This window comes from Homo sapiens, chromosome 4 (genome assembly GCF_000001405.40).
Source record: "Homo sapiens chromosome 4, GRCh38.p14 Primary Assembly".
In the NCBI taxonomy this organism is placed as follows: domain Eukaryota; kingdom Metazoa; phylum Chordata; class Mammalia; order Primates; family Hominidae; genus Homo; species Homo sapiens.
This window is the reverse complement of record NC_000004.12, coordinates 108,062,600-108,077,373: the sequence shown is the minus strand read 5'-3', so window position 1 is coordinate 108,077,373 and position 14,774 is coordinate 108,062,600. Positions and strand designations below refer to the sequence as shown.

General features: G+C 40.3%; 1 protein-coding gene across 11 annotated transcripts in view, besides 1 other annotated feature; it reads left to right on the top strand.

Annotated features, from left to right (window-relative positions):
• The window catches only part of LEF1 (lymphoid enhancer binding factor 1), a 121,385-nt gene that overhangs the window by 91,559 nt on the left and 15,052 nt on the right, over positions 1-14,774 (top strand). For 5 of the 11 annotated variants that reach the window (NM_001130714.3, XM_005263046.4, XM_006714233.2 and 2 more), the window contains 2 exons: positions 6,604-6,711; positions 12,990-13,038. In NM_001130714.3, coding sequence (NP_001124186.1) covers positions 6,604-6,711; positions 12,990-13,038 — 157 coding nt within the window. Of the gene's footprint in view, positions 1-4,339; positions 4,538-6,603; positions 6,717-12,989; positions 13,039-13,710; positions 13,752-14,774 lie in introns of those variants that run through there. The other 6 variants (NM_001130713.3, NM_016269.5, NM_001166119.2 and 3 more) reach the window with 2 other exon arrangements.
• Positions 4,737-4,956: an enhancer, noted in NCBI's record as "active region_21793". NCBI's record gives its function as "activates an Ori minimal core promoter by ATAC-STARR-seq in GM12878 lymphoblastoid cells {active_cell/tissue: GM12878}" and the evidence as "EXISTENCE:reporter gene assay evidence [ECO:0000049][PMID:35858748]".

The window sequence follows — 14,774 nt, the reverse complement described above, 5'->3', positions numbered from 1 at the left end:
GGCGGCAGCCGGGCAGAGGCGCTTCTCTCTTACCAGTCAGTTGGGTGGCCGGGCAGAAGGGTTCCTCACTTCCCAGTCAGTTGGGCGGCCAGGCAGAGGCACTCCTCACTTCCCAGATGGGGCAGCCAGGCAGAGGGGCTCCTCACTTGCTAGACGGGACAGTGGCCAATGCCTGGCTAATTAAAAAAAAAAAATTTTGTAGAGATGTGGTATTGCTATGCTGCCCAGGCTGGTCTCAAACTCCTGGGCTCAAGCAAACCTCCCACCTTGGCCTCCCAAAGTGCTGGGTGAATAAGTGGGAGCCACCGTTTCTGGCCCTGTTATCATTCTTTTTTTTTTTTTTTTTTTGAGATGAGTCTTGCTCTGTCACCCAGGTTGGAGTACAGTGGCATGATCCTGGCTCACTGCAAACTCTGCCTCCCAGCTTCAAGTGATTCTCCTGCCTCCGCTTCCTGAGGAGCTGGAATTATAGTTGCCTACCACCACACCTGGCTAATTTTTGTATTTTTTTTTTCAGTAGAGACAGGGTTTCACTGTGTTGGCCAGGTTGATCTTGAACTCCAGACCTCAAGTCATCCACCCACCTCGACCTCCTAAAGCCCCATTATCATTCTTTAAACAGATATTTATTATCCTTTTGGGTCAGGCATGATGCCTGGAGATTAGGTAATAATTGCTGAATAAAGTAGATGCAGCCACTGGGCACGGTGGCTCATGCCTGTAATCTCAGCACTTTGAGAGGCCGAGGCAGGCAGATCACCTGAGGTCAGGAGTTCAAGACCAGCCTGGCTGACATGGTGACACCCCATCTCTACCAAAAATACAAAAATTAGCTGAGTGTGTGGTGGTGGATGCCTATAATCTCAGCTACTCGGGAGGCTGAGGCAGGAGGCAGGAGAATCACTTGAACCTGGGAGGCGGAGGTTGCAGTGAGCCGAGATTGTGCCACTGCTCTCTAGCCTGGGCAACAGAAAGAGACTCTGTCTCAAAAAATTAAATAAATATCCACCTAGAATTTACAGATCTATAAATCATTGTTAGGGCCTCTATTAGCCAAAATAGGTACAGCCCCTTTCTGGAGCTTCAAGTTTTATGACAGAATACAGACATTAGACAAATAAATAGCCAATAAATATGTAATAAAAATTATGATAAATACTGTGAATGTAGGGAATAAGATTCAGTGAGAAAGAACAGTAGGGGCTTGGGCAGGCCCCTCTGAGGAAACTGTATTTAAGCTGAGATGTGAGAGTAAGTAGAGACGAATGGGGAGAGGTAGACTCCCCCACATGCAGATGGAGTAGCATGTGTGTGCCGCCTCTGAAACAGGAAAGCGTTTAGCTCTTTAGGGAGCTACAGCAAGGCCTTTGGGGGACCGTCCTGGCAAACAGAGGTGGCCACTCCTTCCAGGACAGAAGCAGAGCTGTTCTACCATGAGGCTTTACATGGAAGAATGTATATGATCCTGAGGAGTCTTGATTCTAGAAAGACTGTTCTCCAAATCTCCAAGTGTACACCTGCCAGGTTTCTGGGTTGCCCTTTTCTTTTCATTCATTCTTTCACCAATGCTATGATATTTTTCTGAGCCCCTGTTATGTACCAGGCAGCAGGCTACAACTAGGATAGACACTCTAAGATTGTTTATCCAACTGTCAGCCAAAAGACATACATAGTCAGTCCTTCCAAGTACTTTGTATGGGATTGAAGTGATTTCAGTTAGATGGCTGAAGAGTGGTAAGAAAAGTTTGAGTTTCTCTAATTTAAATTACATTTTCACCATAGTCACGTTATCATTATAATTTTAGAAATGTTTCATCTTAATTTGTTGATGCTCTTCATATCTGTGTGGTAGCCTCTTAATTTGTGACCCTGTGTTTGTTTTTGCAACCTCTCAAGAAATTCATGATTGGCAAATGAACATTCAGTTGAGGAGGATCTAACAACCCTTGTGAAACATAGAGGATCATGTGTTAGCTATTGTCGATGATAATTTTACCAGGTCTGTTCTGAACCTAATAAATTTGAGCATTTATAACAGAAAACATTTAGGAGATTTCCAGTCCATGTGAACAGGAGGGAAGCAGGCCCTCTTACATTATCGATTCCCATTGGATAGCCTCAAAATGCAGCTATTTCCAATCTGCAAGTCACCAGGGTTTCCAGGGGAGGATGTGGTGATAGATTATAGCTTTTTTGGTGTCCTGTGTACAATGCCCTATCTCCCTGTGGATTCTTAGACACTTAATAACAATAATTACAATGCTTTCCCAAGCCAGATCATGGCAGATGAGTGATTCCCATCATCTTGGAAGAACTCCGCCTTAAAAACTGATGATCATTTTCCCTGACTCTTTAAAAGAAGAAATCAGAGGAAAAGAAGGGCTGATGTTTTTATTTCAGCTTGTATGCAACTCTTAGTTTTTTCTTTTTTCTTTTTTGAGTTAAGGGCCCCCTGGCCCTCCAGTGGGAATTACTTTCCTGCTGAATACAGAGAGTGAGGATATGATATGAAGGTATGCTTCCTATTCTTAATGCACATTTCCAACAATTGCTACTTTCTCAGCTCCCTTAACAATCCCCAGATCCGAGCATGTGTCCTAAAGGATGGTTCTTATTTGGGGTCTCTGTCTGTCTCTGATTTAGACACCTGTTTCTATTTATAGGTCTCTGAGATCTTTGATTAAGATCAGGTTTTCTATCCTTTCATAACTCCCCTCTGGCAGGGCAGCCCTTGCTAGCTCTTTAAAGTCTCTGGCATCAAAATCATGACGTTTTACACTGGGATAATTTGAGTTCTTAAAAGTGGATCTTAAATCCATCCCAGAACATTTTATCTTTTGATTTTTATTCATCTTTACTATATCTCTAAAATAGTGTTCATATGAATTAATCAAAGTTTTATTTTTAATCCATATTATAAATAATAATATCACAAATTTTATTTTAAAATAAGCCTTTTCTCTTCAGACCTTCCTGGCTATTAAAGGAAATCCATTTATCACAAATTTGTCATGAGAATGTTTTATCTTGGAACTGTACAAGTTTATTCAAATTAAATGGATATTTTCCCCACAACTTGGTGAAATCTTGACAATGAGATTTGATTTTTAAAAAGTTTGACTCTTTATTTTGCAGTAAATAGAGATAGAGAAGCATTTTTAGTCAATTGTGTTTCAGAAATTCCTGTAAAGAAAGACCATCTTTCAGGTCTGTACTAGACTTTGTTTTTGTTTTCAATGCAAAACTTTAATTACATCATTTTATCTACTGTTCATTTTGGTAAGTGATCTTCTATTTGTGAGTCATTTTTGTACATTAGAAATATCAGAGAACTTCCTGGCTAACACGGTGAAACCCCATATCTACTAAAAATACAAAAAAGTAGCCGGGCGTGGTGGGACGCACCTGTCGTCCCAGCTACTAGGGAGGCTGAGGCAGGAGAATCACTTGAACCTGGGAGGCGGAGCTTGCAGTGAGCCGAGATCGCGCCACTGCACTCCAGCCTGGGCAACAGAGCGAGACTCTGTCTCAAAAAAAAAAGGGGGGGGGGTTATCAGAGGACTTAAAGCAATGGAACATGTAAATAAATAGTTTAGTTTATGCCTACTTTGCCTCCTTGCCTTTTATTCAGTTTCGTTAGCTTGGGTCTTTTTGTCAACCTGTTTCTTGTTTTAACTGAAAAATACCTCGTTGTTTGGGTAGAAGACCCAAACTTGATACCTATTTTGGGAGTTAATTTGTATTTATGATTCCAGGTTTTCTCAGCTACTGTAAGTTACGTAAAACTATACTGATACAGTAATAAAAGGTGTTGTATATAGGGGAATGATAGTTGTCAAATAGTAAATTTAAAATGGAAGACTTCCTGTCTTCTTTTATTTTTTTTGTCCCTAATTTTTTTCCTTATTGGTAAAACTTTGCCTCTTGCCAATCATCCTTATTTAGCACTAAAGCTAATTGTGTAAATATCAGTTTTCTTTTTTCTTGTTGAGACAGAGTCTTGCTCTATCACCCAGGCTGGAGTGCAGTGGTGCAATCTTGGCTCACTGCAACCTCCACCTCCTGGGTTCAAGCAATTCTCATGCCTCAGCCTCCTGAGTAGCTGGGATTACAGGCATGCACTGCTACGCCTGGCTAATTTTTGTATTTTAATAGAAACAGGATTTTGCCATGTTTGCCAGGCTGGTCCTGAACCACTGGCCTCCAGTGATCTGTGTGCCTCAGCCTCCCAAAGTGCTGGGATTATAGGCATGAGCCACTGCACCCTACCATAAATATTGCTTTTCTTTTACAAAATCAAGGATTAGCCAGGCCTGGTAATGTATTCCTGTAATCCTAGCTCAGTGCTGCGGTGGGAAGATTGCTGGAGCCCAGGAGTTCGAGGCTGCGGTGAGCCATGATCACACCACTGTACTCCAGCAACACAGCGAAACCCTGTCTCTTAAAAACAACAACAACAACAACAACAACAAAAAACGATGATGTTTCCTTTTGTATCCAGTTTGGTTTTTCTCCCTGTGAAGGTCTGTAATACTAGGTCAGTGTTCCAGGTTTAAAAAGCTGTCAGTTGCTAGCAGCAGTGTGACTTTTCCATCCCAATTTAAACCACTGCTGCTGCCCCAGACACAGATTCTTCTCAGGCTCGATTTGTCTAATGTTTATTCTACTAGTACAAAGAACTGTACTTAAGGTAACTGTTTCCAGGGTTGTTTTGTTTTGTTTTCCTGGCACCTCCCTCTAATTTTTTTTTTAAACAAAAGCACATCACCTGATTTGCTTTAGGCTCAGGGCAAGCCCTGCTGTGTGTCATGCTTTTTAACCTCACGCTCTGCACTTCTAAAGCAATTAAACAATAAATCATCTATCCTCTTCAGCACAGACTGCCTGACTTTTAAGGGGCTTTCAAAGGAAACGGACTCTGTTACCCTTCTGGTGGGAACTGCTGCTTCTCGCACTGGTGGTTGGAACTGGAGGTGGGGTGTGGCCGGAAGGTGCTGTCATGTCTCATGAAATCAGCTTCATGTACTGTTGTCAAACAAGAGCAGCAGGTGTTTGTTTTCTTAGCTACACTTTAGGGGCTGAGCCCAAGTTGATGAGGACTTAGACATAGCCTCCTCTAGGAGAAGTTTTTCTCTCTCATCAACCTCTCTCACTCTATCCTTCCTCCAACCCACCCATTCCCTTCTTATTTAAAAATCATTTTAAAAAACATGAACAGGGAGATCAAAATTAATATGCAGGGCAGCCATGAATGGGAAAGAATCTCATAGCCTGCAATGGGAAGGAAGCAAAATGGGAAGCTCCACACCTGAGAGTTGGGGGAGAGCAGGAGCAGGGAGGCTCCCAGCTGACAGATTGTGTGTGCACACAGGTGAGCACATGCGGGTACAAAAGTGAGCGTGTGTGGTGTGCACATAGTTTATGTGCACAGAGGAGCATGTGTGTTATGCATGTGGATGTGGGTATATGTGCTCAGGTGAGCATGTGAGTGGGGTGTGTGTGTGTTTTGCATGTGTATGTGCTCAGGTGAGCATGTATGTTTGCGTAGTGTGGGCTCTGGTCTCATCCTTGTATAGCTACCATCGCCTCTGTGTCATACCCTCATGGACAGTGGTTCTCCCAAATCCCAGATGGTTCTCCCTGGAAAGTTCTGCTGGCAGATCCTGGCATTGGGGAAGTTGGGAAAATACATGAACACTGTCTGCTGGGGACTGGGGTGAGTCATGTGCAGATGTATGCAAAGCAGTGTGCAAATGTAAACCCCTTAAAATCCCAGATACCTTTCCTACATAAATGACTTTGTTATATGTGCTATATAATCAGTTATGTAAAAAGGAGACAAAAAGTTTGAAGGATATTAGCAGCTACATTCTTCATATTAGAAATTACAGTCTCAAATTCTAGATGGCAAAACAAACTTAAATAATGCCCCGTGCTGTCCATCAGAAGGAGGCTAAAAGCCATAGCCATAAATGCTTGTGTGACTGGACAGTGTCATCAGTGTTGTCCCTATAGACAGCGTCTATATGAGTGTGAGGAGACAATGAAGAGATGGAGATACACAGGCTGACTTTTCATGTCCTTCTTTATAGATAATCATATGATTAAGGTTTCAGGCTCTTCATATGACAAAATGGGAAAGTGTTCATATGAGGAGAGGGTATATCTGTTTTAAAAGACATCTGGAAATTATCACGTTTTGCATAAATAAAAAGTACTTGGGCTCAGATATCAGAATATGCTAGTAACTGTGAAAAACAGTGAAGTTGGGTGTTGAGGTTCACCAGTGAAAGTTCTTTTTAATTTATATTGGAAAAGAGAAAGGGTGGGTGACAGAGATCATTTTACTTTGAACACTTTGATTGACTTTGATGTGTTTCATGTGATATCAGAGAACAGGATAGAGAAACCAAAGTTTGAGTTTCACTGTAGCCACTAGACTCCAAGGAGATTTCTACGGCACTTGGCACTTGGTCTTCTGCAATTTAAAAATAAATCAAAGTTTAAATGCTTAATATTTTCATTTTTTGATTTTTGAAACATAAAATATGCTATTGCTATTTTGCTTACTTTTGTTTTTTTCTTCCTTCCTCTCTGTTTTAGTGGCATGCCCTCTCCCGTGAAGAGCAGGCTAAATATTATGAATTAGCACGGAAAGAAAGACAGCTACATATGCAGCTTTATCCAGGCTGGTCTGCAAGAGACAATTATGTAAGCCCCTCCTCCATACCAGTGGCTCTCCACTCTCACTCATTCGCTCTTTTGCGTTCAAGAAGGAAATGTGTTTTAGGTGTATATAATGCTGGTACTACTTATTTTTTGGAAGTTAATGAACTTTGTAATAAGGATTTCATGGATATATTGCATTATGAAAGCTTCGAGCTATCTTTTTTTTTTTGCTATGGGTGCTAATGAATGCTTTTAAATAAAATTTTTGAAATAAACTAATACCTTATTATTAAAATTTGATAAAAGAAACATTAAAAAAAGACCATAATCTTACTATGTAAAGGCAACATTAGTAATAACTACTTATATTACTTTCTAATATTTTTTCTATGCGTGGTTTTTTTTTACTTGTATATTTGTGTGCGTGGGTGTATATATATACATGTTTGTTGCATACTTCTCGATCTTATATATAAAAAGCATTTATCTGTTATGGCACAGTGTTTATGTCTATCAATATTCCATTAAGTGAATTTCACAATTTATTTAATCTTATTTTTTCCTGCTTTTAGACATTTAAGTTGCTTCCTATTGTTTTTCTTACAAATGTAAATATTCCTTCAATGAATATGTCTATACATAACAGTTTTTTTCTGTATTTAGGGCTATTATTTATGTTGAATAGATTCATTGTGGAGGTAAAGGATATAAATGTTTTAAAGTTATTTTGCGTTTTTTTTTTTTTTTGAGACAGAATCTCACTCTGTCGCCCAGGCTGGAGTGCGGTGGCATGATCTTGGCTCACTGCAACCTCTGCCTCCTGGGTTCAAGCGATTCTTCTGCCTCAGCCTCTCAAGCAGTTGGGATTACAGGCATGCACCCCCACACATGGCTAATTTTTTGTATTTTTAGTAGAGACAGGGTTTCACCATGTTGGCCAGGCTGGTCTTGAATGCCTGACCTCAGCTGATCTGTCTGCTTCTGCCTCCCAAAGTGCTGGGATTACAGGCATGAGCCACTGCCCCGGCTATTTTAAATTTCTTCATACATATTGTCACATTGCTTTCCAAAGGACTGTATTATTTTACACTTCTTATAAACAGTGTATTCAGGTGACTGTTTTGCCACAGACTACTTAAAACTGGGTAAAAAAATCTTTTTTCATGTTATCGTACCCCAGCATCTATCACATATTCTATTCAGTGTAGGTATATCATGTTTAAGTCATACTAATTTTATCAGCAGGAAATACCTCACTTATAGTGCCAATTGTTTTATTACTGTAGAATTTGAGCATCTCACTTATGTAGTCTTGATAGGGCAAAGACTTTTATTTTATAGAGGGGAATAATTTTCACTATTTAAGCTCTTAAGTTAATTTAATATTTTGCAGTTATTATGTCTGAGTTCATGCAGCCTGCTATAATAAAATACCATGGACATGGTGAGTTATAAACAACAGGTTTATTTCTCACACTTCTGGAGCCTGTGAAGTCCAGGATTAAGGTGCAGGCAGGTTTGGTGTCTGGTGAGGGCCTGGTCCCAGTCTTCTGGCTGTATCTTTGCAAGGTAGAAGAAGGGGGAAGAGAGTGCTCTGGGGTCTCTTTTATAAGGACATTAATCCCCTTCATGAGAGCTCCTTGCTTAGGCTATGATCACCTCCCAAAGACTCTCCCTCATTATACCATCACATTGGGGGTTAGAATTTCAGCATATGTATTTGGGAGAACACAACATTCAGTCTATAGTAATTCTCAGGGTCTACGTGAGACAAGCATTAGAAATGCCAGCCAGGTCAGTCTTAATAAAAGTGAAATTATTTCTTTTTAAAAGAGCAAGAGTGAAGCCGTTAATTAATATACAATTTAATATGTAGCCATTGCTTTAGGTGCTGCTGTGGGGCTCAAGTTCTCACAAGAGATGATGACAAGGATGCATATCTGAGGTCATGCACACATGGAAACTTATTTCTGGAAATGGGTTGCACAATTTATTTCCTATAATATGCTCCACAGAAAAAGTCACTTTACTGGTCAAGGTTTGGAGCTCAGACATTGGATATAAGTTTGACACAGGAAGTAAGAGTCTGTCTGTTACTTATGGGAAACAGCATAGTCAGCTCTTCTGAGTTATTTTGGTTGCCTTAATAACTACCATATGCTGATGGTTAGGAACTGTCTTAAATTCTTGACAGCAACCCAGTGGTGGAATGAATACTATTACATGAATATTATTACTCCATTTTTCAGGTGAGGAAATTGAGAGGCTGAAGAGTTTAGGTAATTTATGCAAGGCCTTGTAGTAGGTGGCTAAGCTGAAGTTTTCACCCAGGTCACTCTGACTTCAAAATCTACGTGGTTTTCCTCCTCCTGAGTGGATTAGCTCAGTCTTCCAGTACCTTCTTTTTGTTTTGTTTTGTTTTGTTTTGTTTTGTTTTGAGACAGAGATTCGCTCTTGTTGCCCAGGCTGGAATGCAATGGCATGATCTCGGCTCACCACAACCTCTGTCTCCCAGGTTTAAGCGATTCTCCAGCCTCAGCCTTCCGAGTAACTGGGATTACAGGCATGCACCACCACACCCAGCTAATTTTGTATTTTTAGTAGAGACGGGGTTTCTCCATGTTGGTCAGGCTGGTCTCGAACTCCTGACCTGAGGTGATCCGCCTGCCTCAGCCTCTCAAAGTGCTAGGATTATAAGCGTGAGCCACCACGCCCGGCCCGGTGCCTTCTTAAGACTGCTGTAGTTGAAGAATTTTCACCCCTGAGCCAGGCTTCTGTTTTCTGAGCAGCAATTACCATCTCTATATAGAGCTCCTGCCATGCCCTGTAAGTAGGAAGATCAGTGTTCACCCAGAGGGTTTCAAAAGTGTCTTCTGGCCAGCCATGGTGGCTCACGCCTGTGATCCTAGCACTTTGGAAGGCTGAGGCAGGCAGATAACTTGAGGTCAGGCATTCGAGACCAGGCTGACCAACATGGTGAAATCCTGTATCTACTAAAAGTACAAAAATTAGCTGGGCATGGTGGTGTGCGCCTGTAATCCCAGCTACTCGGGAGGCTGAGGCAGAAGAATTGCTTGAACCCGAGAGGAAGAGGTTGCAATGAGCCCAGATCGCACCACTGCACTCCAGTCTAGGTGACAAGTGCGAAACTGTCTCCAAAAAAAAAAAAAAAGGATCTTCTAATCCTGCCTTAGGTGTCTTTTGGGTGTAGTTTGTCTAAAGGGGGAGAGCTAATCTTCCTCATATGACCTTTGTAAACTTCATTGTGCTGTGAATTTTATTCAGCATTGCTTCTTGAATGCCTTTAAATTTGTTTTTCTAATTCTTAAGTAATGAGTTTTAACTTTTAAAAAGACATGAAACAAACACCTACATATTCTATCTCTTTCTCTATCTGCTCTCTCTTCTCCATGTTGATGGGTGGGAAGAAAGTAGTTTTAAAGAAAGCTACTGTAATGTGATTTATCTTTAAAGATTTCCCTCTGCACAACTTTTAAAGGAAATTGTTTTGCATATTCCTTGAATGAAGGGAAAGCCCAGCTTCGTTCATAGTGTTTTCATCATAATCAAAATAAGTCATTCAATTACTGAGGCAAACAGAAGCTGATCAATGATAGTACTTTATCTAAAGATACTGTTCTTTAAATAACAGTACTGTACAGGGATAGAATAAAGGTAAAATTAAGGCATTTAGTGCCAGAATGGTATCCTGATCCTCAGTGAGATCGTGTGAAATATATATCTCAATTATTCAGTATTAAAATACCCTATTACATGACATAGATTTATAATTTGAACTTGTTTTTTTAACTTTGGCTAATAACAGGCTAATTAATAGTGCACAAATTTTCTTGGGTGAGATTAGCCAAATATTTATAATGTTAGAACTTTTCAATTTAGTTTTTAATGCTTTCCAATATTATACAGTCCGTATAATTTTAACAAAAAAAATTTTTTGTTTTTACCATACATGAATTTTGGTTTTTGTATAACTTGACATTAATACATCCAAACTACTTAGTTCTCTTTGCCTATCATAAATGTAGATTCTCTTGAAGAACTGGTTGATATCCTAGAAGGTAACAGGTTATTTGATTTAGCGGTAGAAGCGTAACGGTGCAGGCTCAGTTGGTCACTGTGTGCTGGCTATGTTCTAGACATGTGTGAGTGGGGGAGCGTGGTGCTGAGACCCAGGTGGTGCTCTGGGGACAGAGCCCATTATAGCACCTGTGAGGCATTCAGTCATGCAGTGAGCTCAGGGTCATAGGGAGCGAGGAAGAAGAGCCCCAGCTCTGCCTGAGGGATGGACCAACAAGGTGTGGAGCAGAGAAGGTTCATGGAATAGATAACACTTGAGACACGGGTTGAAGGGTTGGGAAAGAAGAAAGTGTGAAATAAAGTTCCAGACACATGAAACAACCTTGTAGCAACTTCTGAACCTTGCAGTAATTACATTGAAAGGACCGTTGTGGATACTTGAAAGAAGCGTGCACTCCCTCTCTACTCCCTGTCCCCAGAGCACCTTTAATAATCTTGAAAGAAGCCCCACTTATAGGGGCGGATTACTTGAGGTCAGGAGTTCAAGGCCAGCCTGGCCAACGTGGTGAAACTCCGTATTTACCAAAAATACAAAATTTAGCCAGGCATGGTAGCATGCGCCTATAATCCCAGCTACTTGGGAGGCTGAGGCAGGAACATCGCTTGAACCTGGGAGGTGGAGGTTGCAGTAAGCCAAGATCACGCCACTGCACTCCAGCCTGGGCAACAAAGACTCCGTCTCAAATAAAAACAATAATAATTATTATTGTTATGAGAGCAAGACCCTGTCTCAAAATAATAATTATTTTAATAGCGTATAGCCATGGTCCGCTTATAGTAAATGACCAACCTGCATCAGGTATTTTCAAATAACTAAAATGGAACACATATCATATCCAATATCTCTAGCTTATGTCTGCTGTAATAATCAAATTAACAAATAATTTTTTTAAAGGCTATAAGATTGTACCATATATATTTTGTGGCTCTATAAAAGTGCATATTTCTGCACCTCAAGATAGTTCTTCATGTCACTTGGCCATTGAGGCTTTACAGCTTCAGAAGGGTGACTGAAATCATCCTCCCCAACACTGAGGCAAAGAGCAGATATCAGTGACCCTGAGAAACGGCACATCAAAAATAATGGAGTCTTCTTTCAAGATTGTTATTATTTTTTGAGATGGAGTCTCACTCTGTGGCCCAGGCTCACTCTGTGGCCCAGTGGAGCAATCCTGGCTCACTGCAACCTCTGCCTCCGGGTTCAAGTGATTCTCCTGCTTCAGCCTCCCCAGTAGCTGAGATTACAGGCGCACGCCACCACGCCTGGCTAATTTTTGTATCTTTAGTAGAGACAGGGTTTCACCATGTTGGTCAGGCTAGTCTTGAACTCCTGACCTCGTGATCTGCTCACCTCGGCTTCCTGAAGTGCCGGGATTACAGGTGTGAGCCACCACACCCAGCCTAAAATTATTTTTGAGGACAAAGTAGTTATGAAGGAAAAGGGAAAATTAGACCACTGTAAGTGGGATCTAAGCTTTTTAATTTGGCATTGAGATGTTTTGAAATGTATTTAAAATGGTGTGCATATCCATGTTATTTTGTCTGTTTTGGGAAGCAAGGTCCTTAATTGCTAGAAATAAGTCTTTGAGATATCTTCAGTTTTCTCAGGTTCTCTCACTCTCTTCTCCCTTTCTCCTTGGTTTTGTCGTTTCTGTGCCACAGGGCCTGTGGGTACTCAATTAACACCAGGGAACTTTTAATCAGACAATGGAATTCACAGTAAGGTTTATCTTAAGCACTACCAGAAGTGGGTTCTAAGTATGTTGGTTAGTAAGAAAAGGAATGGCTCATTAAGCTGGCTTTCCTTGAAGAGGGTCCTATGGCCACAGCTCTAGGACATCATTATCCGTGTGTGTGTATGTGTGAGAGAGAGAGAGAGAGAAGGCTCTATGGCCACAGCTCTAAGACATCATTGTGTGTGTGTGTGTGTGTGTGTGTGTGTGTGTGTGTGAGTGAGAGAGAGAGAGAGAGACAAAGTGTCTACCCACGGTGTCAATATTGATGATGTTAAATATGAAGCTATAGAGACAAAGGTCACCAGGTCACTATTTTCTCCCGTTCTCTTGCTTTCTGACTTTGTTTCTAGATAGAGATGGTGAAGAGGGAGAGAGAATGAGTCATCTTTACCTCTTTGTTGACCACCTGCCTGTACTTCCACATCACATTCATCTGTGTGTTCATGGTACAATCTGTGACATGACAGTATACCTCTCTTCTTCCAGGGTAAGAAAAAGAAGAGGAAGAGAGAGAAACTACAGGAATCTGCATCAGGTAGGCACCATGAGACTTTCCAGTCAATCCTCAGGCTTCTGACAAACACCTTTTAAGGCAGTTTGCATCTCTCTACACACTGCTTTCTTCTGTGACTGTAACTTATGATGCTTTAACTCTGCTTTTTCTTCCTGAAATTCTTTTAAAAATTTAAAAGACCCTTCTTTTAAATGTGACTGTGGGAAGGTACATGTAAAAACTGTTTCCCAAACCCTGTCACCTGGAATCCTGGTTGTAAACTGTGGGATTTTGTTTGTTTGTTTGTTTTATTTTTGCTTCTGTTGTCTGTGTTTACTTTGCTTTAACACTCTTGCCTTTTTACTATGTTATATAACTCCTTAAAGATACAATATTTTATGTTGATTAAATGATGTTACCTGGTGTTCCCTTGAGAATCTCTTTTGTGATTTGGGTTTTTTAAAAATTTAAAACATAATGATAGGGTTTGTCTTTCTTGTACATTAATTCAAGACATCAGTGAGGTCCCATTTATTTTCCTTTTTTCTTTCATTAAAAATAAGGCCACTACTTGTACTGCACAAATAAAAATGGCTGGTATAAGAACCATGAAAAGTAAAGCAAACAAGTTCACATGATATTGTAGCTACTACGTATTTGGAATGTACAAAAACCTCTTCAATAAAAATTTGTTAAAGACACAATTTTCTGCAGGTACAGGTCCAAGAATGACAGCTGCCTACATCTGAAACATGGTAAGAACGACTCTCTGGTCCTACTGCTGACGTTAGTTGTTATAAAAAGAGGCACTTGCTTGTGAATCTTCTTGCTCATAATGAGTTCATTCGACATTGCTCCTTAAAGAGGAGAACTCAGCAAAATCAAATTAGTGCTTTAAAAAATCTGATGGTTTTTATACCGGCTATGTATTTGCAATATAGTATGCTTTTATCTTTTCTCTTCTATCCTCTTTGGCACATTTATTCTTCCTCCATTTCCTTTCCCCTAACTCTTTCTTCTAAACCATTTCTTACTGATCAGTGGCAAATCGGCCTGCTTAAAAAAAGAACAAACAACAACAAACAGTAAGCAAAATGCCATCTTACTCAGCAAATCCAGGGTGGGTTTGAGGAGCACCATTTTAGCCCAGAACTCCCAAGCTTTTGCTCAGTAGAGACTTTTTCTCAATTGAAATCACATGTAGTCACTCAAAAGTAATGTATTTGTTTCTAGTCAGAAAGCTATATATGCTTTATATTTTTTCTATTATTTAATATGGCATGGGCACTTATTTAACTGTGTTTCTTCTATCAAGTATTTCTCTTTATTGGTAACTATTGCTAGATTTTGCTCTAGTATTTATAAGTAATATTTATTTTATTTCTTTTTACTATAATTTTTTATTTATTTCCACATGACCACTAGCCCAAGGAACCTGACATTGTAAATTAAGGCTTGGTCTTTATTAAGCTTTAAATTAGCAGGGTGTGTACCTCTTCTCCTGGTAACAGTTCTCAAAGGAGCTGCCTTTGGTTATCCTCTCTAAGAACCCACATCCAGTCAATCACCAATCCCTGTCTTTGGGGTCTGTCTTGAGCCTTTTCTCTCACACTTACCACTGCCATAGCCCTAGTTCAGGTGCTCAGACTTTCCATCTGGAGTACTGTAATACACGTTAATAATTTTTCTGCCTCCAGGCTTTCTTTCTACCAGTTCATCCTTCACGTTGCTCCTGGAGGGATTTCCTACAACTCAGATTGTGCATCACTTCCCGACCT